The sequence below is a fragment of the Homo sapiens genome, chromosome 1 (assembly GCF_000001405.40).
Source record: "Homo sapiens chromosome 1, GRCh38.p14 Primary Assembly".
NCBI classification, from domain to species: Eukaryota; Metazoa; Chordata; class Mammalia; order Primates; family Hominidae; genus Homo; species Homo sapiens.
This window is the reverse complement of record NC_000001.11, coordinates 178,473,069-178,499,970: the sequence shown is the minus strand read 5'-3', so window position 1 is coordinate 178,499,970 and position 26,902 is coordinate 178,473,069. Positions and strand designations below refer to the sequence as shown.

The following is a 26,902-nucleotide window of genomic DNA, read 5'->3' as shown; positions in this document are numbered from 1 at the left end:
TCTTGCTCTGACCCCCAGGCTGGAGTGCAGAGGCGCGATATCGGCTCACTGCAAGCTCCGCCTCCCAGGTTCACGCCATTCTCCTGCCTCAGCCTCCTGAGTAGCTGGAACTACAGGCGCCCACCACCACACCCGGCTAATTTTTTGTATTTTTAGTAGAGACGGGGTTTCACTGTGTTAGCCAGGATGGTCTCGATCTCCTGACCCTGTGATCCGCCCATCTCGGCCTCCCAAAGTGCTGGGATTACAGGCGTGAGCCACCACGCCCGGCATAAAGGGGAGTTTATTACGGAGTATGGACTCACATGATCACAAGGTGAGGTCCAACAATAGGCCATCTGCAAGCTGAGGAAAAAGGAGGCCAGTCCAAATCCCAAAGCTGAAGAACTCGGAGTCCGATGTTCAAGGGCAGGAAGCATCGAGCACGGGAGAACGATGTATGTTGAGGCCAAGCCAGTCTAGTTTTTCCGTGTTCTTCTGCCTGCTTTTATTCTGGCCGCGATGGCAGCTGATTAGATTCTGCCTACCCAGATTGAGGGTGTGTCTTGCCTTTCCCAGTTCAGCTGACTCAAATGTTAATCTCCTCTGGCAACACCCTCACAGACACACCCAGGATCAATACTTTGTATCCTTCAATCCAATCAAGTCGACACTCGATATTAACCATCACAGCTACTAATGATAAACATAATGCTTGCCATTTATTGAAAGGTTTTGTTGGGCTTGTGAGAAGCGAGTGCTTTGTGACTTTGGCACAGTCCGTGCTCTCAAGGAGCTCACAGTCAGGAAGGCACGTGGAATTTCAGCCTGGAGTTCCAAGTGCTGCCCTCAGGGAGTGCTGGGCCTGAGCTGGGGTGAGGCTGCAGGGCCCTTCCTGGAAAGACTTGAGGGAGACGACTGGGGGAGTGGCCAAATGAAAAGGTGGCTGGCAGGGCAGCATCTTCCAGGTCAGGATTGTCAGGTTCTCTTCTGTCCCCAGAGAGTGGTCCTGGGAGGCCCTGACACAAGCAGGACCTGCTTCTGGGAGGAAGTTATCCGAGGCCATTGCTGCACGAGAGAATACTGTGGCAGGACATTTTTGTGGCTGCATTAACAAATTTTCCCCTCTTTCTCTTTTGCCCATTCAGAGGGGCCGTTTGCCCTTCCATCAGGGAAGGGTGAGAAGGGGTAGGGGGTAGGAAAAAAGAGAGCCTTCCAGACTGTGTTCCTGAAAGTCTTCGCCCTTAGGCCAACAGAGAGGGCTCTGGGCCTAAACAGCATGTTTGATGTTGTGTAGAGAGAGAGAGAACACAAGCAAGCTGTTTTTGGTTCCCCAGAGAAAGTGCCTTGGCCTCCAGTCCTGCACTTTATTTTTGTTTTACTTGTTTATTTATTTATTTTAGAGACAGGGTCTCGCCCTGTCTCCCAGGCTGGAGTACAGTGGTACAATCACAACTCACTGCAGCCTTAACCTCCCATGCTCAAGCAATCCTCCTGTCTCAGCCTACTGAGTAGCTGGGACTACAGACATGCACCACCAAGCCTGGCTAATTTATAATTTTTGTAGAGATGGAGTCTCACTATGTTGCCTAGGCTGGTCTCAAATTCCTGGGCACAAACAACCCTCCTGCCTCGGTTTCTCAAAGTCCTGGGGCTATAGGTGCATGCCACTGTGCCCAGCCCAGTCCTGTGCTTAATTTTGGAGTCAGAGCCTAGACTGGGCCTGGGGGTCTCTGACCGTGCGGAAGCAGAACTTGTCGGGGCCATCACCTCCCAACCTCATGCTTTTCAGTGTATTCACTGAAAAGCTTTTAGTATTCAACCTAAGCTTGAATACTGTCTCACCTCTGCCTGCGGTGTAGTCCTGAGCATGCTGTTTCACTTCTCTGAGCCACAGTTTCTCCCCTGTGAGCCAGTGAAAATGACAGCCCTCTCCCTCACGTCATGTGGTTGCTGTGAGGAGGGGTAGGGGGTGAGTCTAGCAAAGCCTGCCTGGTCCACAATTTCCAGCTCCTTCTCCCTCCTCACCCGCTTCTTCCCCATCCTTCCTTTCTGCCCCTTGCTCCTCTGACCCTGAGGACCCAAGGGGTCTAGCCTCACCCTGCCCTCTGCTACCCTACTCTCTTTCTCCCCCAGCAGCCAGCCCCAAGGATGGGTTCCTTCCCTCCCCGATCTGCTTATTAATTACCAGATCCATGTTGCCTTCCTCCTAAGTTGCAGGAGGACCTCTGAAGATGCTCTGAAAAATCAACTTGCAAAAGGCAGATTAATTGGAGGAAAGGCATACACATTTATTTAACATGTGTATGTGTCCCCGGGAGCCTTCAGAATGAAGACCCAATGATAGAGGGAGACATTGTTCGTTTTTATGCTTAGGTTCAACAAAGTGTGGGCAGCTGTGTAGAAATATGATTGGACAGAAGGGTCTGATCTAATGTGAATAGACTGAGTGGGGAAACCCAGCCAGGCCTGTGGGTCTGGATTCTTCTTGGCCCCTCTGAGCATGAAGTCCTTCCTTCTGGGCGTGGAGCAGGGCCCTCTCTGGAATGGGGGATTCTCATGACCTACAGTCAAACGATGATCCCTTCAGATCATTTCTTTACAGCCAGTTTCTACACAGCCAGGCAAGGGCAAGTTAGAGTAATATTTTTAGGTTTTATGGCTGGCTTTGGCGAAAAGGGGTTCTAGTTCCTACGGCTGGCCTTGGGGAGAGTGGGGCTGAGAGACAGGAAGGCAGGAGAAGGTAAGAGAAAAACTTGTGCTTCTGGGGCCTTCATTTTGGGACACTGTTTTCTGAACCCCCACACAGGGATCTCTTCCGCATCCTCCAGGCCGCATCTCCAGCACCTCACACCCTGCTGGCAGCGACAGACACTGGGTAAGTATTTGTTTAGTAAAATCCAGCAGTTTGGGTGGCAAAGAGGAAGAGAGGAAACAGCAAGGAATGAAAGGCCAGAAGGTCAGACGCAGCCTCTTCTACAGTCCCCGCCAGCTCCGGGGTCTTGTCCCGTGCCCAGCCAGCACCCAGCCATCGCCCAGCCAGTGCCCAGCCATGCTGCCCCGGGCGCTGCTGCTCTCCTTCTGCGCAGCAGGTGAGGCCCCCCAACCTGGAGGAGGGTGCCTGGCTCCATGCTCCCCCGGGCTAGAGGCTGAGGGAAGGGGGCGCACCCCTGAAGTTCCCAGATTTCCAGGTTGGAGGGAGGCAAGGTGGAAAGAAATGAATGCTTTTCAACCCTCAGAACAGGGTTGGGAAGGGAGCTTCGCCCTCATCGCCCCTAACCAGACAGTACTCAGCCAGCGTCCAGAAGGCAGCAGTCAGAAACAGTGCGGCTCCAGCAGCTTTCTTTCTAGCGGGGCTAAGACATTCCTCAAAGAGACGGCCGCGCAGGTCACTTCAGAAGCATGTGCAATGCAGGGAAGGACATCACCGGGGTGTGGACAGGGACGGGCGTTGTGGGGGTCTGTGGACCAGGGGGCGGCAAGGGTTCTCGGAGAAAGGGAGCCGTGGGTGAGCCTGAGGGGGAGAAGGAGCCACCAAGAAAGCCAGGAAAAGCCCTGGCTTGGAGGGTGGCGGCTGCTGATGCAGGTGGGAGGGGAGGGCGCAGGGCCCCATGGCTGCGACCCACATGGCGGTGGGTGGTCAGGTTTTAGGCCCTCTGGCTGCAGAGTCGGGGCGTGTGGGGACTGCCGAGGGTAGAGGGGTCTTGGGCCCAGGTGTCGGCAGGCAGGCAGAGAAGGGCTAAGTTCAAGGCCATGGAACTGACTAGAGGCTCCCGGGTAGGGCTGGAGAGGCCGGCGGGAGGGGCGCCCTGCATGGGGCTGGGGTGCCAGGGGTGGACACCGTCCTAAAATCAATTATGCGGGCCACAGCCAGTCATTAAAAAAATAAGCAGAATGCTTTTCTCAGTGACAGGAAGCATCCTCCCCTACGGTGGGTGTGAGGAGCTTGTTCTCCTTGGCAAGTGCCTCCTCAGCCCTGGCCCCTGGCTTCCATGCCACGGCCTGTGCCCAGCTCTCCAGTCTCATTCTCCTCTCCTGGGGCATTTAGCTTGAAGGGTTCCTTGTGGCCCAGACCCCCAAGGTCCCAGCACCAAGCCCTTCATTCTTCTCTGCCTCCCTCCATAGGCAGGGCCTGGGCAGACAGAGCAGCCCTGGACCAACCACATTTACTGGGACCAAGAGGGTGGAGTCAAGGAAGGAAGGAACACAGATCTTGGGGCTTGGGTTGGCTTCCTGGGAGACGTTTGATTTGCTCATTAGTTCCTCCCTCTCTTTCCTTCCTCCCTCCCTCCCTTCCTTCCTTCCTTCTTTCCTTCCCTTCTCTTCCTTCCTTTTCAATACATTGAGCCCTTGTGATGTGGCTGGCATCATGCTGGGCCCTGGGAATATAATGAATGAGGCTCGTTCTTTGCTCCTAAGTTGCCTATACCAGGTGATACAGACAGACAAGCAAAAAGGTCTCTTCCCTAAAAGCTTTTAAAAAATCCTGATGCTAGTCCCAGCAGCAGATCTTTGCTTTAGGGTGGGCCTGGAAATTGGTATATTTGAAAAGCTTCCTAGGTGACTCCAGCTTGCAGCTCTGGTTATGAGCCCCAGATGGAGGGGCAGTGCCCTGCCATGGATATGGGCCTGGAGCTGAGAGCCTGCCCAGGGTACTTGAGTCTGGGCTGTATTCCTTCCCACTGAGTGACCTTGGCTGTGCCTCTTTAACTCTCTGTGACTTGGTTCCTTCATTTGTAAAACAGAGTGCTATCTTAGGCAGCTGGAAGAATTCCTTGAGCTGATGGCACATGGCGGGTGCTCAGCAAGCATTGTCTATTGTTATCAAGCACTAACAAAGGTGCACTGCAGCATGTAGGAAAGGCACCTCACCTTTTCTGTAGAAAGGATGGGGCAGAAGAGTGAGGAGTTAGCTGGGCAAAGGGACTGGGGAGATGAGGGAATGGGAGAATAGGAATCGTGGATTGAGGGAGCTGGAGGAGGTGGCCGGCTCTTCAAGAACAAGAGAACAGCTTGTGCCAAGGCTGGGAGGTAGAGCTGGATATGACTGGTGGGCCAGCGGCGAAGTGCAGAGTGGGCGGGAAGAGGCTGGGGAGGCCCACCCGAGTGTGGCTGAAAGCTCTTTGAGGACTAGGGGCTGGGGTGGGGACAGCCATGCTATGACAGCCTCTCCTGTTCCAGCCCTGCAGCTGGTGAGCAGTAAGAGGGACTTGGTTCTGGTGAAGGAGGCGCTGAGCTGGTACGACGCCCAGCAGCACTGCCGGCTGCACTACACAGACCTCGCTGACCTGCAGCCAAGTGGCCTGTGGAAGCTCTACTCCCTCATGACCAGCACCCCGGCTTGGATTGGCCTCTTCTTCGACGCAAGCACTTCTGGCCTGAGATGGTCCAGCGGCTCCACCTTCACAGCCCTGGAGTGGGGCCAGAAGCTACCTGAATTTGGGGTGGGCTTCTGTGCCACGCTGTACACTTGGCTGAAATTACCCAGCATAGGGGCTGCCTCCTGCACAGCCCAGAAGCCCTTCCTCTGCTACTGTGGTGTGTTCACATTCATATTTCAGGCTTGGTCTTTCCCCCAGGGGCCTCACTCTGTTGCCCAGGCTGGAGTGCAGTGGTGTGATCATAGCTCACTGTAACCTCCAACTCCTGGGCTCAGGTGATTCTCCTGCCTCAGCCTCCTGAGCAGCTGGGACTACAGGTGCATGCCACCATACCTGGCTAATTAAAAAACAAAACAAAACAAACAAAAAACCAACCTTAATAGAGACAGGGTCTCGCTATGTTGCCCAGGCTGGTCTCAAATTCTTGCCTTCAAATGATCCTCCTGCCTCAAGTCTCCCAAAGTGCTGGGATTATAGGCATGAGCCATTGGGCCTGGCCCAGGGTTGGTTTTCAATAGCAAATGACGGGGCAGGGAGAGACAGAGAGAGAAGCACCCTTTCAGAGGATAACTGGTCATGACTTTACTCTTTTTGCCACATCACTTTCTCTCTGTGGCCTCTATTTCTATCTCCTCTGCACCCCTATTCGAAGACCTCAATAGAAAAAATGGGTGTAAGTCAGGATAGAATACAAATAAAATTTGGAAATTTCCTTTCTTTCCAATTAGGGATTTGGGGGAAGGAGAAAAAGAAAGGGAGCCAAGAGGGAAAGACAGGCTGGGGTTGGGGGGATGCATGTGTACCTATGCAGAAGCAAGAGCAGAATTCACTGTCTTCTTCTCATGAAGCACAGGTGGATGGTTAGGGTCTCAGAACTGGGCAGGAGGGGAGCGGCCACCCTCTGGGAGATCCCCTGCTTCCCGCTAAGTGGGCAGTGGGAGCCAACTCTTCGGGCATCTTTGCGGGAAATCCACCATCGGTACGCCATGCGCAAGGCTCCAGCTGTTGGAGAACAGCAGCCCCCTCCTTGTGCTCCACCGGGCCCCTCTCTGTCCTGGCTGCCGGTGCCTCCGACTCCTGTCTCGTTGCTGTTGGGAAGATCATACGTGGGCTGGTTGTGGCGTGCACAGCACTTGCCCGGTAAGAGTGTCACTTCCTGCTTCTCCCTCTGTCAGCCAAGGCTCAGTCCAACTCTGTGCCATCCTCACCTCTCAAATAGGGTTATGGAGGACCAACCTCAACATGTGCCCAACATGGCCACGTGGTGCCTGCCCCGGGACCTTGAGAAGTAGCAGGTGGTGGCTGCCTAGATTTAAATGCTGGGTTCCCAAGGGAGTAAGGAGATTCCCAGGGGTGGTGAGTGTGCCTGGGACCAGGAGGCCTGCAAAGGGAGGGGTGTGCGTATGGCGTTGTCTCCCGCTCCCCACACTGTCCCCACACTCCACCAAGATGGGTCCTGACCTCTCTCCAGCTCTGCACCTCTGCTGCTAGCATGTGGGGTCAAGTCAGCGCTGTCTCTCCTCTGGGTCTGCCCTTGACCCCTAAAATCTGTTCTCTACACAGAGTGAGCTTTTAAAAAGGTAAATCAGGTCACTTCCCTGTAAACAAAAGAATCAGGAGGACCTGGCAGCACTTAGAATCCTGTCCTCCTTTAGCCATCAGGCCTCGCCTCCCCTCTTCGGCCTCATCTCCTACTCCTGTCCCAGCCACATGAATTCCTTTGGCTCCTTCTCACTGCAGAACCTTTGTCGTGGCTGTGCTTGGGCAGCTCCTCCCAGCTCTCTACAAGATTTGCTCCTTCTCATATTCTCTTCAAGAGCAAGGACTCCGCTTGTCTTATTTCTGCCATTTTTTCCCAGGGTGTAGAATAGCATCTGCGACACAATAGGTGCCCAGTATTTATTGAATGGATTGAATCGATGTGGAAAGGGATGGACCAGCCTGTCTGCCCCTGAGCTAGGTTTTCCCGGCTATAACCGGACAGCTCCTGCCTGCAGAGGATCCTGGGCCTCCCCATAACTCGTGGTCTGTTTCTGTTTTACAGACCCTGACGTCGGGCACCTCATCTCCACGAAGCCCTCTCTCAGCCTGACCACCTCTCCAAAGCCAGGTACATACCTGCTCCCCATTCCCTTTTCTGGGAATTTGGCTTGTTTTGCCTTGGATCTCTCCACCAAGACCAGCCAGCAGGATCTCCACCCCCGCGTCCCCTCTGTTCCCCTGATTTCTGCCTGGCTGTCCGGGAGGGATTTCCAGAATTTGCTGCCCCCTGGCTGAACCCCATGGGGAGAATCAATGTCCTTATTTTTATTTTTTATTTTTTATTTTTTTAAGACACGGATGGTCTCACTCTGTCTCCCAGGCTGGAGTACAGTGGCACACTCACAGCTCACCCGACATTCCCGGTGGCTGATCCTCCTGCCTCAGCCTCCTGAGTAGCTGGTACTACAGGCACATGCCACCATGCCCAGCTAATTTTTTGTATTTTTAGTAGAGATGGGGTTTTGCCATGTTGCTCAGGCTGGTCTCGAACTCCTGGGCTCTAGTGATCCACCTGCCTGGGCCTCCCAAAGTGCTGGGATTACAGGTATGAGCCACCGAGCCGGCCATTGTCTTTATTATTCTGATGGGCCCAGAGGGGAGGGTGACTGGCTCAAGGTCTCCAATCACAGACTAGAATCAGACAGTGGATGGGCCCTTGGCTGCAGCCCAGCTCTCACTCTGGGGTTGGGGACAGGGTGGTTCCTTTTCACAGCCCAAGTACCTGCTCATCCATCTAGGGGTGGGGCGGCTTCTCTGAAATAGTCCCCTCTGGTATTACTGCATTGGTGTCTTTTAAAAAGTTTCTTCCTATCTGATATGGAGAAGATCTATGACAGAGGCAATATACTCACTCAATCTGCTCTGTAGAGTGGGTTTTCTGCATGGTATGGAGTACAGAGTTGTAGAGTGAAGATGGCGTGGGCTTCCCATGTTCGAATCTCTAGTATGGCCTGAGTTCGGGCAGGTTGTTGCCTCCCTGAGCCTCCTTTTCCTCATCTGTGAACTGAGGCTAATGACACCAACTTCTCAGGATGGTAGTGGGGTTTTCAAAGATGACACAGGCCACATGCATAGCTCAGGGCTGGCACATACTAGGGGTTTAATCAAGAGTAACTTTAAAAAATCTGTTTAGATAGGGAAAATGTTAGGGAAATTGGAGGCAAATCTTGATGGGCTTAGGTGAAAGGCTCATGTCCGAGTTTGGGAGGCTCCATTTGAATCTGAGGATGTGACTCCCGACTCAGCAAACAGGAGTGTTTCATCTTCCGGGCCTCCGGAATCAATGCCTCAGGTCAAGTCCCAGCCACTCACGTCGTTGGCAATCTTCCATTGTCTGGAATCTCAGATGTGTGGGCTTATGAGCTGCACCGGCGATGGGCAGGGTAGGCTGGGCCTGTCCTACCTCAGGACCTGGCCCAGTCCAGCCTCAGGCAGGGACTGGCAGTGGTGGTTGTGGGAGGATAGCATCTCAGTCTGTCTGGGCTCCCCAGAAGGCAAGGCCACTGAGCCTGCTCTGCCTCCTGTCCACCAGGCCCATCCCTCCAGGCTGGCCTCTTCTCCCTGGCTCTCCAGGCACGGTGAGTCTAGGAACATCGCACAGTTCATCTATTCTGCTCAGCCCTGGATTCGCCCGAGAGCCAGTGGGGGCAGGCACCGCCCCTAGAAATCACACTGGAGGGTGGCCCCAAACCAAGATTGTTCTGTCTTCCTCATAATCTCCCCCGAAATGGTCACTACCATCTTGCCAAGTGCTTACTATTAATATATCACTGTGCTAAACCATTTGCATATGTGATTTCATGTAATCCTGACCTTAGGTACTATTATTTTCCCATTGTATAGATGAAGAAATTAGGACTTAAACTGAACTTGTGAGGCCATATAGCTACAAGAACTCTTAAGCTCTGCTTTCCCTAATGTTTCCCCCACCTGCTGCTATACTATCTCATCCATTCTTCCATCCTGGTATTTAGTCTACCTATAAAACTGTTGTTTTGATCAAATCTAATACTCAAGGACCAGGGACAAGGGCCCATGTCAGACCAAAATTCTATCCCCAAGGGTGATGAAGGCTGGGCTGTCAGAGACCCAGGCCCTCAGGCCAGTGATCTCCACATTCTTTGACCCCAGCTGTGGTCCAGATCAGTGGTCAGACCTTCATGCGATTTGACCAAGTGATGACATGGTCCTCGGCCCTGCTGTACTGCCGCAGCCACCACACGGATCTGGCCGACCTGCAGATGGTGACGGATGAGACAGGCAAGGAGGCCTTGAGATCCATCATGAGTGAGACTGAAGCCTGGATTGGCCTCTACCTCAATGCAAACTCCGGATCTCTGAGCTGGTCCAGTGACCTGGGGGCCAGCATCCCCTCCTGGCTGCAGGTGCCGATGATGGTGAGAGGACTGTGCACAGCTCTTGGCATCTATATGACCTACTCCCCAAAAGTGTACTCAGTGAACTGCTCTTCCCTGCTGCCCTTCTTCTGCTTCTATGGTGAGTGAGAGTCTGCTCTTGCTGGCCCTCGGCCCATTGAGGATAGAATGAGATGGGAAATGGGTTTACTTGGCAGCAGATGACATTGAGGATAGACCCAAGGAAGCACTTCCAGACTCTGAGGGGTAACTGAGTTCTGGAGCAGGCTCCTGAGATCCTTGCACTATAAACTTGTGAGGAAGTTGTATTATTTTAATTCTGGGAATCTTTAAATAATGGAACGGATTCCATCCAGCCTTAGGGCAGTGGCAATTAGCAAGAGCAATGCGTTATTGGACAATGAAGTTAAGAGTCTGGGCTTTGGAATCAGACTTTACAGAAATAAGGTGGGCAGCATCTCGGAGCCTCCTTTTCCTCATCTCTGAAATACACTGAACAAAATGAATTGGTGGCACCCATCTCATAGGATGTCTTTGAGAGCTGAATGAGAAAGTGAATGTAAGGGGCAGAGTAGAAACTCTGGCACAGAGTGGGCCCCGGTGGACGGGAGCCATTGTCCTTGTTCTGTCCCTGTGAATGCATGGGATCCCAAACCTGCCTGGTGCCCACATCCTGTGTGATGGGCGTCCTTCTGCCTTGCCCTTTCCTTCTCTCCTTCCTCCCTTCCTCATTCCCCACCTCTCTCTTTTTTGTAAGTTTTGTTGAGATATAATTCCCATCTTAAAATTTACCTTATTTTTTATTTAGTTAAATTAATTAATTAATTAATTTTTGAGACAGAGTCTTGCTCTGTCGCCCAGGCTGGAGTGCAGTGGTCCTCAGCTCACTGCAGCCTCCACCTCCTGGGTTCAAGCAATTCTCACGCTTCAGCCTCCCAAGTAGCTGGGGTTACAGGTGCCCACTACCACGCCTGACTAATTTTTGTATTTTTGGTAGAGACGGGGTTTTGCCATGTTAGCCAGGCTGGTCTTGAACTCCTGACCTCAAGTGATCCACCCGCCTTGGCCTCCCAAGGTGTTGGAATTACAGGCATGAGCCACCGCACCCAGCCAAAATTTACCTTTTTAAAGGGTACAACGCAGTGGCTTTTAGAATATTCACAAGGTTGTCCAACTATCATCACTAATCTGATTTTAGGACATTTTCATCACCGCCCCCCCCACCTCAAAGAAACCCCTTACCCGGTAGAAGTCACTCCCTCTCCGCCCCACCGGCAACCACAAACCTATTTTCTGTTTCTGTGGATTTGCTTGTCCTTGGCTGTTTCTTTTTGTGTTTTGGATTTGATGAGACGCATGATCCTTATCCTTAAAGATGCTCTTCCTCCCTGAGGAGCTGCTTGCTGTGAGGATTAGAGATGGTGAATGTGTCTCCTGCAGGGATTGGCACACGGTAGATGTACAATAACTGCGCCCTCCTGAGTTTGGCTACCATGATGGGCAACCAAATGCGGGGCCATCAGAGCCTGGGGTGGCCACTCACCTGCTGGGTGTTGCAGACCCTGCCCTCACACTCACTCTGTTTTCTTGCAGACTCCTCCACTGGACACCGGGCATCAGCAGAGTTGCCTCCACTCTTCCACACTTCCCCCACAGAAATGACAGAGGAAACAACTCCCAGGCCAGGCAGAGGTGCTTTGAGCCTGCCCTTGGCTGGATCTGGGTCTTCAGGGTCTGGGGAAGTGGCAAGGCTGGCTTGCAGGCCCCATAAGCCCCTCTTAGAAGGGCCAGTGTATGCCTAGAAAAGGGGTGAGCTAAGGGGGTGGCAGTCAAGGGCCACTTACGCAGAGGGGAGTTTCCCTCCGCTCCCCACCCTGCTGGTCCAGCCAGGGCTGGGGAAGGAGGACTGGGCCACATCAAACTCCCTTTTCCTGGAATTGGGCCACTGAACTTGCAGCTCCAGGGCCAGGAGACCCAGGAGAGGCCGTACGGTCTCTCAGGTGAGAGGCTGAGGCCCTGGGGGAGGTGGAGGGGAAGATGCCTGAGCAGTGTTCCTGAGGAAGAATCATCAGAGAGGTCCTGAGGCTCAGCATCCAGAGGGAAGCACCGCAAAGTCCCTCGGAATTGCAGGCTCCTCTGCAGGGAGAGGATGAGGGATGATGAGCTGTTGGCATTATGTATGGGGAGGTGGCTGGGAAGGACAGTGACAGCATTCCTATAGCATTTTAAAATTTCTGAAACATCTTCACAGCTGTTACCTCATTTTACTTCCCAAGAGTTCTGAGGCTAACTAGAGTAATTGAGGGCAAAATCACCGTTTTCCTGGCCTCCTTACAGATTCCTATATCACACAAAGGGATTATTGTCTTTTTTTGAGGACACAGAAAAGTGAGGGCACTTGATCAAGGTCGAGCAGAGCCTCGTTCATTCACTCATTAGAAAGTGTGGATGGAGTCCTGTGCTAGCCCAGGCACAGCCACCAGGCAAGATTTTGGGGACACAACGAAAAGGGAAGGTTTGTTCTGAAGGCGCTCACAGCCAGTTGGGAAGAGGCTGGTGCTTGGTATAGGCACAGGCGTGGTGGGGACGCTGAGAAGGGGAGCATCCCCCCCTGTAATTGTCCAGGGGATTTCGCAGAGGAGGTGACTTTATAACTATTGGAAGGATGAGAAGGATTTAGCTTGCAAAGTGGAGTGGGGGTGCGTGGCTGGGTGAGGACTGCAGATGGAAGGAGCTGCAGGTGGGGTGGGGACAGTCAGCGCTGGAGAGTGTGGGAGCCCAGATCCTGCCGGCCGGGCCCCCTGTGAGTCACTAAGGGACCTCACCCTGAAGGCGACAGAGCCCAGGCTGGTAGCTGTGATCAGATTTGGGTCAGAAGCTGGGTAACAGCCTGTCTTCTCATCTAAGGTCTATCCTGGCACCTGCCTGGCTGCCCCAGGCTCGCTGGCCACCTGGGCCGCGCTATTGGGTTCAGGAGGCCCTCCCTGCTCGCCCCTGTCTGCACTGGGTGGGCAAGGCCAGGCGTGGAAGAGGCACAGGCCCGGGGAGCCAGCGCGCGAAGCCACTCCTTCTTGCCCTCGGCTTTGGGAGGGGTCCCGGGCGCAGCGGACCCCACAGAAGTCTTCTCTCTGGCCCTAGGGACCAGCACCGGCCCCGTGGGCGCCTCGCAGGGCCCGGCTTCAGCAGCGCGGCTCACTCAGAGGGGCAGCCCGGAGCCCCGCGAGCCCGACCTCCGCACCTCCTACTCGCGCGCTTCCGCCTCCGCGGGCCCAGCGGCCCTCCAGCCCCAAGGGGCGGTAACACCCGGCCCTTCGGCCAACCTCGCGGCCCCGGGGGGCACCTTGGTTCCCGCGGAAGGACCCAGGATGCCGCCGGTCACTGCCCAGAGTGCGTCTTCCCACCCTGCGCCCTCGGCGTCCCAGCCCTCCAGCCCTGCTGCGGCCTCTCGGGGGAGCCTCTCTGTCCCCCAGGAAGTAACTGCGACTCTTCTGGCCTCCGCTTCGAGCCCCACACTCGATGCCACCCGCGATGCCCCAGCTACTCCCAGGATAGCAGCACCCCCTGGGTCTGCCACATCCAGCCGGGGCCTCGGCTCCCAGGCTCAAGGGAGCTCTCTGGGGACCAAAGAAAGCATCTCGGACTCATTTGGCTTAGGGAGCCCAGCCGTGACCCAGAGGACAACTGCACCCCCTGACTCTGCAGCCCTGAGCCAAGACACCCGCCCAGAGGCAGCTGGGAGCTGGCCAGGGCCCCAAACAGGTGCCTGTCTGCGTCGCTGGAAATTAGGACCTCCACCCCAGGCAGGCCCAAGCATCTTGGGGAGTTCCTCTCTTGGGGCGACCAGGCCTGGCTTCCATGAGTAGGGTGCAGGCCAGGGAGTTGAGGATGAGAGGTGGGGTGTGGTGTGGGCGCGTTGTGTGCTGGGCCACAGTCTCCCCACTCCGGCTGCATTCCAGCGCATCCTACAGGGGTCCTGTCTGGCCAGAGCCAGCTCACTGTCTCGTCCTCCCTGGGTAATTTAGGATGGAAATGGAGGTGAAGTGGGGTGATCTGGGGGAGAAATAATCCATTTTGGTTCTAAAAGCAAGAGTCTGACAGTCAAGAGTTGGAATATTGGCTCCAGTACCTACTGTGTGGCCTTATGCAAGTTTCCTAACTTCTCTGAACCTTATTTTTCTCATCTCTCAGTGCCTGGCATCTGGCAGACACTCAATAAATGGTAGTTATTACCATTTTAATCTCAGTTCTCTAGTGAAATGTTTAGTGACTCACTCCTTCTCCCACCTCTCTCCTTAATAGATGGAGCTGGCCTCATTCTCATTTTATTAATCATAAATGATTACAATTATGAATTATTGAGATTGCAGAATCTCACAGGGCAGGGGCTGTTCTGTACTTCTTTGTATCTCTCTGGGGACTAGGATAGTGCACATTGGTAGATGATTTAATTGGACGATAATTTCCTGAGTACTTGTTTTGAAGAAGGCATTGAACTGTGGATACCAAGATGAGCAGGGCTGTTTCCTGTTTTTAGAAGCACATGGTCTCATAGGAACTAACGGAGACAGTCAGGACGGTTTGGAAAATGCTGCACCAGAAGTGTGAACCAAGAGCTGTGGCAGGAAAGCAATTCATTTCCTTCTGCCTGGAAGGTGGTAATAGGATAGAAGGTGTAACAATGGAGGATTTCATCTGGCAGAAAAGTACAGAAAGTTCTTCCTGGCAGAAGGAATAGCATGGGTAAAGACAGATGTCAAACTGTATGGTTTGCTTGGGAATGACAAGCAGTTTGATGCGACTGGTGTAGGCCACATAGTGGGGAAGGGAGTGGCAGGGGATGAGGAGAAAGGGGTACACTGGGGGCAAAATCTGAAGGACTTGATCCCCCAGCCAATGGAGCCATCAGAGGTTTACAGCAGGTGAGCAAAATGCTCAGATCTGTAGTTTCCAGAAGCAAGGTGGTTAGGATGATGTAGGACAATGCTTGTATTAGGGTGCTAAATGAAAAAAGCATTATCAATGTTATGTACATAATACAGTCACAACAAGGCTGAAAGGAAATAGCAATGCTTAGGAATCAAGTCTGGAAGGAGATGTGTGACAATGTTAACAGTGACTATATTCAGGGGATGAAAATACAGATGTTTCCTCCTCTTCTGTGTTTCTGAATTTTACACATTTATCCACTTTATTAAAGAAATTTATGATGCTTTGGGTGGGGAAAGAGGCCTTTGAAGGGGTGGCCAATCAGAAAAGGAGAGACAGGAAACGTGTGTGTGGGGAAAGAATATTGCACAGTCTGGGTGGGTGGAACCCAGGCCTGTTCTGGAGCACTGGAGTGGGAAGGGACATGACAGCGAATTGATTTTACATTGTTCACAAGTGACGTTAACTGAAGTACCAATACAAATACATTTTAAAAAATGCTCAGCTTTGTTCACTGAATCACACAAATGCAAAGTTTATAAAGATGCTTACTTTTTTTTGCTTTTTGTTTTGTTTTTGTTTTCAGAGACAAGGTCTCACTCTGTTGCCCAGGCTGGAGAGCAGTGGTATGATCATAGCTCACTGCAGCCTTGAACTCCTGGGTTCAAGCGATTCTCCCACCTCACCCTCCCAAGTAGCTAGAACTATATGCATACACCACCACGCCTGGCTAATTTTTTTTTTTTAAAGACAGGATCTCGTCATGTTGCACAGCCGGCCTTGAACTCCTGGCCTCAAGTGATCCTCCTGCCTCACCCTCCCAGTGTTGAGATTACAGGTGTGAGCCATCACACCTAGCCAAAAGATGCAGTTTTAAAATGTATTTTTGTACTTAACAGTGTGGCAAAGATTTGAAAGGTAATAATGCTGAGAATGTGGGAAAAACAGTGATCTTGGCACAGTAGGTATGCCGACTGGGGCTACCACTCTGGTATCAGAATTTGTGTCAGTTTTAACATGTGCATAATCTTTCGTACAGAAATTCTACCCTTAGAAATTGATTAAGGAAATAGTAATATGAGGTACACACATATATATGCACCTTCCACACACACGGTTGTTTGTTGCGGCATTGTTTATTACAGTGAAAAGGTGGAAACAACGTAATGTCCACTGAAAGCAGATCGGTTAAATAAGTTATGGTACATTCAGTGAAATACTACTATGCAGCCTTTAAAGAGAACAAGGGAGATCTTTACACATTCAAATTAACAAATTCGAGAGTGTGAAGGACCTTCTACAGCAAAGTGTTAATCATGGGTGTCCCTGGGTTGGGGAGGGGACAAATTTGCTTACATATTTTACAATAATATATTCCAAATAAAAGGATTATTTCCATATTTGAAAAAATAAGACATCTGCAAGGCACTGACAGGACTTTGGTGACTGAACATGAGAGCAGGTGAGATGGAGCAAGGGAGCCGCTGAGGACACCAGGGTCTCTGGCTGGAGCGCCTCCGGGCATGGCCAGCCATACAGGAAGAGAGGGGGTGCTGGGGGAGAGCCTGAACTTGGTTTGGGATGGAGATGGCGATATTGAGGGTCCCTGGGTGCCATGGTGGGGGCTTTGTGTAGCTGGCAGACAAAATAAGGACATTAGGCCCTTTGGAGCACAGGCTACTGAACAAAAAAAATTTGATGAGGAAAAACCTCCTAACATTGCCCAAGCCCCACAGGTCCTGCTGCCAGGGGGGCTTTCTGAAAGATGATGGTGTAGCAACTCAAGTGCTGGGTTAAAAGAGCCTGTAGGGGTGAGTCAGGGATTGGCAGGAATTGAGCTTCCCACATCGCTGGCTTCTGCAGCAACTGTGTGCCTAGCAGTGGCTGTCCTTGCCTGTCTTTTAGCTCAGGGGCAGTCACCAATATCAGGCCACCTTACTCCTGGTTGTATTTGCAATAAATCTTTTATTTTCCCCTCCTGTAGCTGTGGCCAGTGTAGGGAGTGGCACTGATAGAAGAGATACAGCTGCTGCCACGGAGGCCCAACATCTGAGTTCAGAATCTAAAGAAAAAACATCAGCACAAAAATCAGGTAACTGCTTCTGTCTACCAAGTTCCTACTCTTACCAGTGGAGCAGTTAAATCTGGACAGTCACTCCTTGGCACAGGGCCCTTGAGACCTTTTCATGAAAGACAGCATGAAATGTTGGGAATAGGGATAGTAATAAAGAGGTGGATTCTAGTTTATGCTCCATGACTATTATGAAAACTTAGGGGACAAGTTTCTGAATTTCTATTTCTCTTCTGTGAAGGGGATGTGGTAAAAACTACCCTGCCTATATCACAGCGTTGTTGTGAGCACCCAATGAGATAACTATAAACTTTATAAACAATAAAATGCAATGCAAATATAGTCTTATTATGAGATTGTAGTTCCTGTAATGATTATGGATGGCTCACGGGCAAAGGCTGGATTTATTTAAAAAGTCAGAGAACTTCTTTAGAATTTTCTGTGGTGGGGAGCTCAAGGAGAGATGAGTATTTCCGGCATGGTGTGGAGTATCTACTTACTGGATTAAAAGTAAGGAGAAAAATACAGAAGAAACAAAAAAGAAAATAATTGCCTGATGGGTAGCCAGGCTGTGGAAGACTTCGCATTACCCAAAGCATGGGACTCTTTTTTTCAGCCACTAATTGGTTAACCCTAATTGTGGCTGAGCATTCTTCTGCTCAGCAGTTTCTTTCTTCTTCTTGAAATCCCAAATCAACATGTAGCATCTATGGTGTCCACCGGGTGCTCCTGACTGCTAAGAACTTGAAATGGAAATAGGATAATATCCCCCTGAACAGGTAGCACTTTCTTTTTCAGGGCACCCTTTTGGAATCTTGAAAGCAGACTTTACCATCTCAACTCTGATGGACCCAGAAGAGATGAAAGACCAATTTCTGAGACAGGTGAGACTTCTGCACACTCTTCTAATTCTGATCAGATGATTGGACATTGCAAGACAATCTTATAAAAACCAATATATTAAGGTGGAAAACCTGTGGAATATGACCTCATCTTGTTCCACTGCCATCACTTTGGCTCATGGTGACAAGTTGGTTATGTGGCAAGATCTTTTTGGATCTTTTCTTACCCTCTCCAATGTCTTTCCTAAGTTTTTTTTTTTGTTGTTTTTTTGTTTTTTTGTTTTTTTTTGGTCAAGACAGCACGGTCAGAGGGATCTGAGCGTGGGTCTTAGTTTTGCCCTTATCCATTGTGTAGCTTTGGGCAAGTAACTTAGTCTTTCTGAGCCTCAGTTTCCTCCTGAAATAAGAATGATAATAATAATGCCTAACTCACATGGTTGGTGTTATGATTAAATGATATATTCCATATAAAGTGCTTAGCAAATAATCTGACACATAGTTGGTGCTCAATAAACATTAGCTATTATTTTTGAGTCAGGGTCTTGCTTTGTCCACCTTGGCTGGAGTGCAATGGTGTGATTATAGCTCACTGCAACCTCCAATTCTTGGGCTCAAGCAATACTCCTGCCTCAGCCTCCCAAAGGGCTGGGATTATAAGCGTGAGCCACTACGCCTGGCCAGCTATTATTATTATCAACATTATCACTGTAGTGTTCTGAATATACATTTGTTCCAGACTTTATTTTTTTTGGTTCTTAAAAACTACTGTGCCATGGGAGACTGTGGAGGAAGAATTGTTCCTAAATACTGAGAGAAAAGCTTCAAGCCGATTTTTGAACATAGTCTAAGGACACATTTCTCAATTATATCAGATAATAACCACAGAATGTCAGTGCTAGAGAGTACCCTATACACCATTTAGCCACAATCTTAATTTTACAGACAAGGAAACATTGGCATTTACCTGTTAGTTCATTGCAATTTATTCATAGGCCAAACAAATATCACCCTGGGAATTCATTCTAGAATTTCACAAAATCAAGTTTCTAGAAAGACCAGTAATATGTGTGTGTGAGTATATAATGTATATGTGTTTACTATAAATTTTACTGATATAAAGAATGTATAGCACACAATTTACAAATTATAATAAAATATATAATACTCTTTATTGTAATTTCATATAACCAACTGAATCTTACAAAATGCTCATGATTTTGGAAAATTCACACGAGCACGTGACTGCATGCTTGCCAGGAGTGGAGGGGGGACTGGAGAGCTTTCAGTACATTTTGCTATTGAAAGAACAATAAGTATGAATGGTGTAATTTAGCATCTGATAAGTTTCAAGTAATAAGACTTCAGTGCTGAATATTAGGTCAAGAAAAGTTAAGAACCTTTTCTTTTTTTTTGGGTGGGGAGAGACAAAGGAATTCTGAGTTCTCTTATGTTTATTCCTTAAAGTCAAATGTAGTTAAGGGCCTTTTTTTTTGGTGGGGGGTGGTGGAGGTAGACAAAGGAACTTTTGAGTTCTCTATGTTGTTTACTTTTTTTTTTAATTTTTATTTTTTTAAGACGGAGTCTTGCTCTGTCGCCCAGGCTGGAGTGCAGTGGCGTGATCGCGGCTCACTGCAAGCTCCACCTCCTGAGTTCACCCCATGCTCCTGCCTCAGCCTCCCGAGTAGCTGGGACTACAGGTGCCCGCCACCACGCCTGGCTAATTTTTTGTATTTTCAGTAGAGATGGGGTTTCACCATGTTAGCCAGGATGGTCTCGATCTCCTGACCTTGTGATCCACCTGCCTTGGCCTCCCAAAGTGCTGGGATTACAGGCGTGAGCCACTGTTGTTTACTCTTTAAAGTCAAATGTAGCATATTTGATTCTGGCCTGGGCCCTTCAGCACTCCTCAAGGGGTGTACTCATTGAAGCTTCTGACTCCAAACCAGAAGCCACCTACCTTCTGCTTTAAATTGAAGCCAGTGGGGAAACTGAGGTCGAAATAGGGAATTCCATCTTCTGGTCAGCTTTGTCAGAATGTATCTATTCCATAAATGGGATGACCATGTTAATGGAGAGAATTTCTACCTCACAGACTTAAAGGACAGATTGGTGGGGACAAGGTGTATGTGGGGGAAGGCTGAGTATATATTGTCAGTTTTAGTAGAATTTTAAATTCCAAATAGAAGGGAAGGAAACACCTGTAACCAACTTACCCCAGTTTCAGGATTGGGGACAGAAAACATTTTAAGACAGCTACGCACAGTGCTCACAGCTTGATTTGGACTAGTGTTTCTTACCCCCTGGCTCTTCGGAATCCCCTGGCAAGGTTAAAAAGAAAAAAAAAAAAAAAAAAGCCTGGCCAGGCCCAATCCTTAGAGAGATTCTATTTAATTGTTCAATGGTGGAGCTCAAGAGGTACTCCTCTGTTTTTTTTCTTTTTTTTTTTTTTTAAACAACTCTCCAGTGATTCTGATGAACAATCAGGATTGAAAACCACTGATTTAGTCATCTGTTTTAGTGTTCTTTGTCATTAAATTTTTTTTTTTGCTAACAAAATTAATTTATGTATTTTCCTACTGGTAAAATGCTAATAAAAAAAGTCAGGCAGCTGGAGGGAGGCTAAAAACAATTACAGGGTATGGATATGCATAAAGGGTATACGGATGGATAGTTTAGGGCTAAGAGGACCATGAAGTAAAAAGACCGCATCAACACTTTCTCTCTTTTTGATGTTTCAGATCCAGGAAGTCTTAAAGCTTACATTAGGTCACGAACAATTTAGACTGAAATGGGTCAGCTTCGAAGTGAACAAAAAATAGCACAATTCTTGGATATGCAGTTTCTGTTTCATGCAATCTTCTCTGGATTTTGAGTAAATTTTAATTTTTTAATCCCTAGTAGAACAAGATTAGGAAGAACTCGACATGTGCCAAAAAGCACAGACCTACAACTAACACAAAACAAGACTACACATGAAACCTGCATCCCTGGATTTTACAGAATGAAACAGGGATGCAGGAGAAGATGGGTGTATTTGGGAACAATCATGTTGGGAATGACAAATGAACTTCTATTAAGAAATTAAAATAAAAAACCTGAACCAAACATCAAAAATCCTGAAAACAAACCCCATTAATCTAACTGGAAAATTACAAGAGGATGGTAGTGGTCTAGGAAGCTAAGTGGGGCTACATTTCCTAATAAACCAGATGAAACTTTCTTTACCTGTCACAAGTTATTAAAGAGATTTCAAATTCTGCAGAATTCGAAAGTAACAGTTTTATCACAATACATGCTAATGCTAGTTATTTTTCCTAAATTGAAATCTTATTACATGGAAGTTGGGAAATTCTAGGACAGACTGTTCTTAATGTTAAAATATATTTTTAGAAGAATATTCCGGCATACATTTCCTTTCTTGTTTCTCTTCAAGTGTCCTAGTCACCCAGGTGCATGCTAGAAGACAGCAATATGTCAAATATAGTAGCAACTTTAGTCTGAAATGTTTAAAGTTAAAGTTTATTTGTATTCTTTGTAGGAATATCAATAAAAGACCTCAAACGTATCTATATCTGTACATGTACAAGAACTGTCAAAAATTATTCACAGAACAAAAATAAATCTTCTTTAGAACAAACCCAGGTAATGAAATGCTGATACGGATCTCACATACGGAATAATCTAAATGCTACTAGCACAAAAATATGGCTTTAAAAATAAAATAAAATCTTGGGTTTTGTTTTTCTAAGGTGTATTTCTCTTTCTTGAAATAAAAAATAAATTATTTAGAGCTATCATTGTAAAATAGTCGTGTGTTAACACACTCTTATTAAGGCCCTGGAGATGAAAAACAAAATCAAATTTAGAAGGTCATTTCCTCACAGGTGTAACTCAGGTTAATGTGCTGCTGTCTGCTTAAGTTAATATAACTAGGAAATGTCTAAGCACCAGTCAAAATTTAACCTAATTTACTATTTAACTTTCCTGAAGGTGGTCATTGAGTCAATTAGTATTTAACCTTTTGTTGAACTGGGAATTGAAATGTTTCCCTCGAAAATTTGGAAATCACATAAAATGATATTTACACATAAATATCTGTACCCCCACAAAGATGATGGAGGTCCCTAAAACACAACTTCTGTGGAAATCTCTCTACAACAACAAATAAATCTGGTTTTAAGTCTCAAACTAAAAAAAAAAACAAAAAACTTCCTAGGGTCAAATGAGGGTATTTAAGTGGAAGATAGCAACTGAGTAGGAAAGGAAAATGCATGCTGAAATGCAGGCAAAGACTACCACTTTCCTTTCCTCGGGTGCTCACTGCATTTCCCAAGTCTTGCTGTGTTGGTTACTCAAACACTTGAGGCTTAACTGATCAGGAACTGAAACTACTTATTTCTGGATCCTACTCTCAGATCAATGATATTCAACTTTATTTCTATGATTCCCCATGGTATCAATAATGATATCTAGGGTTCTTGAGACAATGCCAAACCAAGTCAATTTCAAGTTGCTTTAACTTATATATACATATAACACATATAGTACATTTTTTAGGATGATAGAATGTCATAAAATCTAACAGACGAGAGCATAAAATCTGAAAATCTCAAAGTTTGGGAATCACTGCTCGATAAAATGGATTAACATTCAGAAAAAGGAAGCCCCAGGAATTATGTTTTGTGTGGGTGTGTGCATGTGTTGTCTACAGAGACTGCCTTTTTATGTATCTATGTATTTTAAGAGTGGGCAAGGGATATAAATATTCCTGTTTCCTGGAAACTCTGGGCTACTGAGAAGACTGCTTATGCATTCATTCCCTTAGGGTCGTGTCTCTTCCTCAGGTTCTTTCACTCCTCCTAAGATATTTATTCTATCTCATGCAAATTTCATCACTTTTGTCCTTCCTAAACCCAAGAGTATACATAATCGGGTCATGACAAAGAGAATGCTTCTAGAACTAATAACAATCATTCAAACATGAAAAGAGATTCTATTTAAAAATTCAACACTCCAACATTTCTTGCTTTTAAGAAACTAAATCCTTCAACTGACGCATTGAAAAAACAAAGTATCTCAAATTATCGGCCCCCAGGTAAGGGGTAGGAAGGCAACTATTTACTGCTGGGGTAAGCAGGAGATTTCACTATTAGACTTGAAAAAGGGAAGGAGAATGGAGAAGGGAGCCCTTCTGGCTTTCCACAGTTGATAGGAGAAGGTGGCCTCCAAAGGTGTAGCTGAAAATGCAGTGAAGCTATGGCATGTGGCTGTTGGGTTTGGCCCTGTGACAAGTCTAGTCTGGTGTCAAGCGTGTGTGTTGGGCTCAATGTCACAATGGGGTAGACTGATGGGACTGAGGTAATCCTGAAGAGGGTTCCTTTCCCACGCTCAGTCCTATAACCAGCCTTCTCAGGAACTCCAAGCTAGAGGTAACTAAAACTAACCCTCTATGGAAGGGGAAACAAATACGAATGCAAACTCACTTGATGGCAGTTATTTTGCTCTGGGACTTCCAAAGAAGAACTCTGCTCTCAATCTGGTGTACCTCTGAGAACACAGTGAAAGCCAGGGGTCTACAGAACCACAGACCCATCAACAAAGGCCCCGGGTAGACTAAGATCTGAAAAGCTTTACTTCCAAAGTCAAGCTCATTCTTAAGGGCATATAGTTAACACTTGTAGCAGTCTTAGGTAATCTTCTTTTTCTTTCATAATCTTAACACCATCACAGAGAAACACGGAAGCAGACCAGTCAGAGAAAGCTAATTCTGACCAACTTGATACTATATGAAAAAAAGCAAAAAGCTATAGCAGCATGATTACCTCATTTTACCACATTTTTCTTACCGTTAGACTGCCATAAACCCCAACAGTACCTTGGTGATAGTGCTTGGAACATGGTAAGTGCTCAAGTGCTTGTTATAGTTACCTAGTTATAATCTCCCCTCTGACATGGCTTTTGCTGCAGAGACTCAGGGAATATGATGACCTGATGGAAATGTGACTCTTTTTGCTGCTTCAGCTCAGATTGCTTATTGCTTCAGTAATATAAAAGGGGAATATGAAGCTCTTTTCTGACTCCTACCAACACTGTCCTCATTAATGGTCAAGTCTGTTGTCAGCTAGACATGCACTTTACAAGCACTTCACCTGAATTCCAAATTCCACTCAACCCTGATCTATCCTGCGCCCCACAATGTGGTGTTGTTTTGAGGGAAACAGGAAGTGCAAGACATTGCTATCTTAATCTATTTGCCTCTCTTCAGCCATGTACCTCCTCCCAGCAAACAAAGTTATTTACCTACTTGAACTGAGGGAAAGCCAATTAAGAAACATCTCCATAAAAATTATCACCTGTTGGTGGCTTCTCTTCTTAAAAAATCCTTCAGAGTAACTTATACAGATTGCAGCATTCTCTAAAGAAATACTGAGAAAAAAGGTTGGACAGGAGTAGGCTCACAGGATAACTTAACATTTAACATCTATCAGCAACTCTGAACTTTTAGCTTATTGGTAATGCTCTATTATTATTATTTTTTACTATTTCTTCTTCATTCAAGATAACCTGGTAGTAGAAGGCTGCATAATCTGTCCAAATGTTTTGGGCATTAAATCTTTCAGTGAAGACAGCCCTCTAAGGAGCTCCCATAATGCTAATAAGATACACTCTATCCATCAAAAGCACATTTGATTTTTTGGGGCTTCTCTCAATTCCCAATATAAGTAATTTTATCAGCCCTCTGTAATCCATAATCGGCACTTAAGAGCTTCCAAACCTCAATGGCAAGACATCACCCACATTACATACTTATGGCCAATGAAACTGACAATTCTCTTACCAGGTTTTCTGTGGCACAATTGAAGGCTTTTACAAAGAATGAATTAAACATGGCTTGAGCTGAGAATAGCCAGAAACAAGAACAAATCTATGCTTACATCCCTCCTCCTTCAACAAAGGACACTACACTTTGGAACAGTTACCTCTTTTTCCTAATAAAATAAGTGATTTTGACCACAGTGTGCCCTCCGCTTGGAGAGAAGGTGTAAGAATTTGCAAACCAAAACCAAAGGTGAAGAAAACGTAAAAGTGCCAAAACAGCTGGATATAAAGTGTGCAGATCAGATAAACACAGTGAGAAACTCCCATTTTAGATCTGTCTGGCAGAAACAGGGATTGCTATGAAAGAAACTGTTTTAAAAGGTTGTGGGTTATGTGGCCATGGTGAGGTTGCTGAAACGTAAGGTCCAACACAAAGATCCACCTGAGAGAGGGCAGAGCTCAAGAGGCTGGAATGCAAGCCTGGGACTTGGTGAAAAGGAGGGCTTGGTGTCTGTCGGCATCACTCAAAAGAGGGCACTATACATGTTCTCTTATAAATATTCTGTTATGGAGAAACACTCACTTGATGCATATGGCTCCCTCAGGTCCTTTTTTTTCCATCCCCTTTTTCTAGAAAAAAAATTCTTTAAAGCTTATAATTTAAAATCAACATCAACTTATTCGAGAAACATTGTTGCTTTCTCAATATAAAACAACTACTTAGATCTTGCTTAAAGAGGTTTGAGACCCTTTTAACATTATATCTGAACAGCATAGAAGGCATGAACTTTTCCTATTTGTGCAGTTATATGTACATATGTGTGAATATATATTATATATATATTTGTATATATAATGTCTGTTTAACATGTAACCTTCCATACTTCTGGTAATCAAGGTTGCATTCAAGATGACATTGCACACCTCTGGAAAAAAGGAAATGAATTCGTTTCCATGACTTTTTCTGTTCTATAATAATAAGGCTATGGATGACAAGTGTTGAAATTGGGTCATTATTGTCAGATCTACGAGCATTGGAATAATAACTGGAATGTGCCATCCTGACACTTTCCATTATTTTCTTTTTCTTTTAAGAGAGTGATGCTTCAAATTTGGATTTCCTTTCTTTATTGAGGGGATAAGGGGAAGAAGTACTTTAAAAGTTAAAGATGGAGATAAAATTACCCCCCATAGATTTGCTAGTACAATGGATAGAGTCTTTATCCCAAACAAAAATTATAACAACACATAGAAAAAATTTTTAATAGGAAATATTCAGAGATTCCAGCTGTGGTATGGTTAGCCCTTTTCTGTATGGAAGAAAGGGTGTTGATCTGGATGGCTTATGGACAGCTATTTAAATAACCTCTCCAGGGGAGAGTAAACCCTGTTGGTGATGACAGCTCCCACTATGGGGAGGAAAGCACAGTGAATGTGTGAAGATGAAGATGGTATGTGGAGACACAAATATTTATAGTTTTGTAAACTCTAAAGAGGAAAAAGAACACCCTTTATTACAATTGGGGTTAAAAACAAAAAGCCCCTGTCTAAAAGAGAAGACTCCCATCTGCTGTAGACAGAGGAAATAAACATATTGACAGGAGTTCAATAGAAATTACTCCTAAAGTCCAGTTTTGATGCAACAGCTTTTGTCTGTGTCCTCTGAAACAGTGAATCCCCAAATCAGATTAGCTGTCCAACCAGAACCAGTCTTGGTTGATCAGTGGAATAAATTATTGTTTTGTATGGATCTTGGTATTTGCATGTTTTCTGAAAGGACAAGAGGGCCAGAGTGGGGTTTTTAAACTAGTAGATGAATCCCTGAAAAATTCCTTCTCACAATGTCCTATTGCACTCCATGTGCTTCTATCAGATAGATGCTTGGTCTCTACCTACTGAACCTACAGGCTCATGTCTCGCTCACACAACAGTTCCTACTTTACTTCCTGTAACAACTGCAGTGCTTTCAACAAGAGGAAAACAATAATAAAAATAGCAATAATCAAAAAGGTAATCTACATTATTAACTTCCTTTTGGTATATTACAGTGATATTTTCTGTACATGGCCCAGAACTAAGTTCCCTATGTACATAGAGATGTGGGGGAAAAGCATTGACCTTGGAAGTCGCCGCCTTATGCCCTGAAAGACAAGGTTCCTTTCTTCATTCAGGAGTTTCTCACCACATCGCCATTGTGAAGTAGCAACATTCTGTAAACCTGGAGGGGCTAGGTAAAGGTCTGGAGATAGGAGAGTGGGTCAATTTCCTTCTGTCTCCTTCCACAGACAAAGCCCGTCAGCAGCTGCTGTTTTTGAATTCACCATTCTCCGTGATGGAAAGCTTGGTGGGGTTGGTGGGGGAGATGCCATTGCGGACCTGCATGCTGTACCGCTCCTTCACTTGGGTCAGCGCGCTCATCAGTCTGGTGTTGGCTGAATCCAGGGACACGATCCGTTTTTCCTACAA

General features: G+C 47.1%; 2 protein-coding genes across 27 annotated transcripts in view, besides 2 other annotated features; one reads left to right on the top strand and one right to left on the bottom strand.

The window, feature by feature from the left end:
- Nucleotides 1–347: 347 nt before the first annotated feature.
- CLEC20A (C-type lectin domain containing 20A) lies at nucleotides 348–21,179 on the top strand. Of its 8 annotated transcripts, XM_047420517.1 has the most exons (10): nucleotides 348–437; nucleotides 2,789–2,857; nucleotides 2,962–3,071; nucleotides 5,161–5,517; nucleotides 7,405–7,470; nucleotides 9,534–9,899; nucleotides 11,372–11,470; nucleotides 16,689–16,796; nucleotides 17,574–17,659; nucleotides 20,356–21,179. In XM_047420517.1, coding segments are annotated over exons 1-10 (1,344 nt in total). In that variant the 5' UTR covers nucleotides 348–435; the 3' UTR covers nucleotides 20,437–21,179. The 8 variants fall into 8 exon arrangements, with proteins under 8 accessions (XP_047276473.1, XP_035717074.1, NP_001382260.1 ...); XM_035861181.2 differs by lacking the exon at nucleotides 11,372–11,470; NM_001395331.1 differs by lacking the exons at nucleotides 348–437; nucleotides 2,789–2,857 and having other exon boundaries at nucleotides 3,007–3,071; nucleotides 20,356–20,731.
- Nucleotides 8,591–8,791: a silencer, noted in NCBI's record as "peak476 fragment used in MPRA reporter construct". NCBI's record gives its function as "represses an SCP1 promoter by STARR-seq MPRAs in K562 erythroleukemia cells {active_cell/tissue: K562}" and the evidence as "EXISTENCE:reporter gene assay evidence [ECO:0000049][PMID:32103011]".
- Nucleotides 16,138–16,314: a silencer, noted in NCBI's record as "fragment chr1:178452792-178452968 (GRCh37/hg19 assembly coordinates)". NCBI's record gives its function as "represses an EF-1alpha promoter that drives an FKBP-Casp9 reporter gene in an ReSE screen in phorbol 12-myristate 13-acetate-treated (for megakaryocytic differentiation) K562 erythroleukemia cells {active_cell/tissue: K562(+PMA)}" and the evidence as "EXISTENCE:reporter gene assay evidence [ECO:0000049][PMID:32094911]".
- RASAL2 (RAS protein activator like 2) overlaps nucleotides 21,121–26,902 on the bottom strand; it is a 384,747-nt gene continuing 378,965 nt past the window's right edge. For all 19 annotated transcript variants that reach the window (NM_001437625.1, NM_001437626.1, NM_001437627.1 and 16 more), the window contains one exon: nucleotides 21,121–26,896. In NM_001437625.1, the coding sequence (NP_001424554.1) occupies nucleotides 26,754–26,896 (143 nt within the window). In that variant the 3' untranslated portion in view covers nucleotides 21,121–26,753. The remainder of the gene's footprint in view (nucleotides 26,897–26,902) is intronic.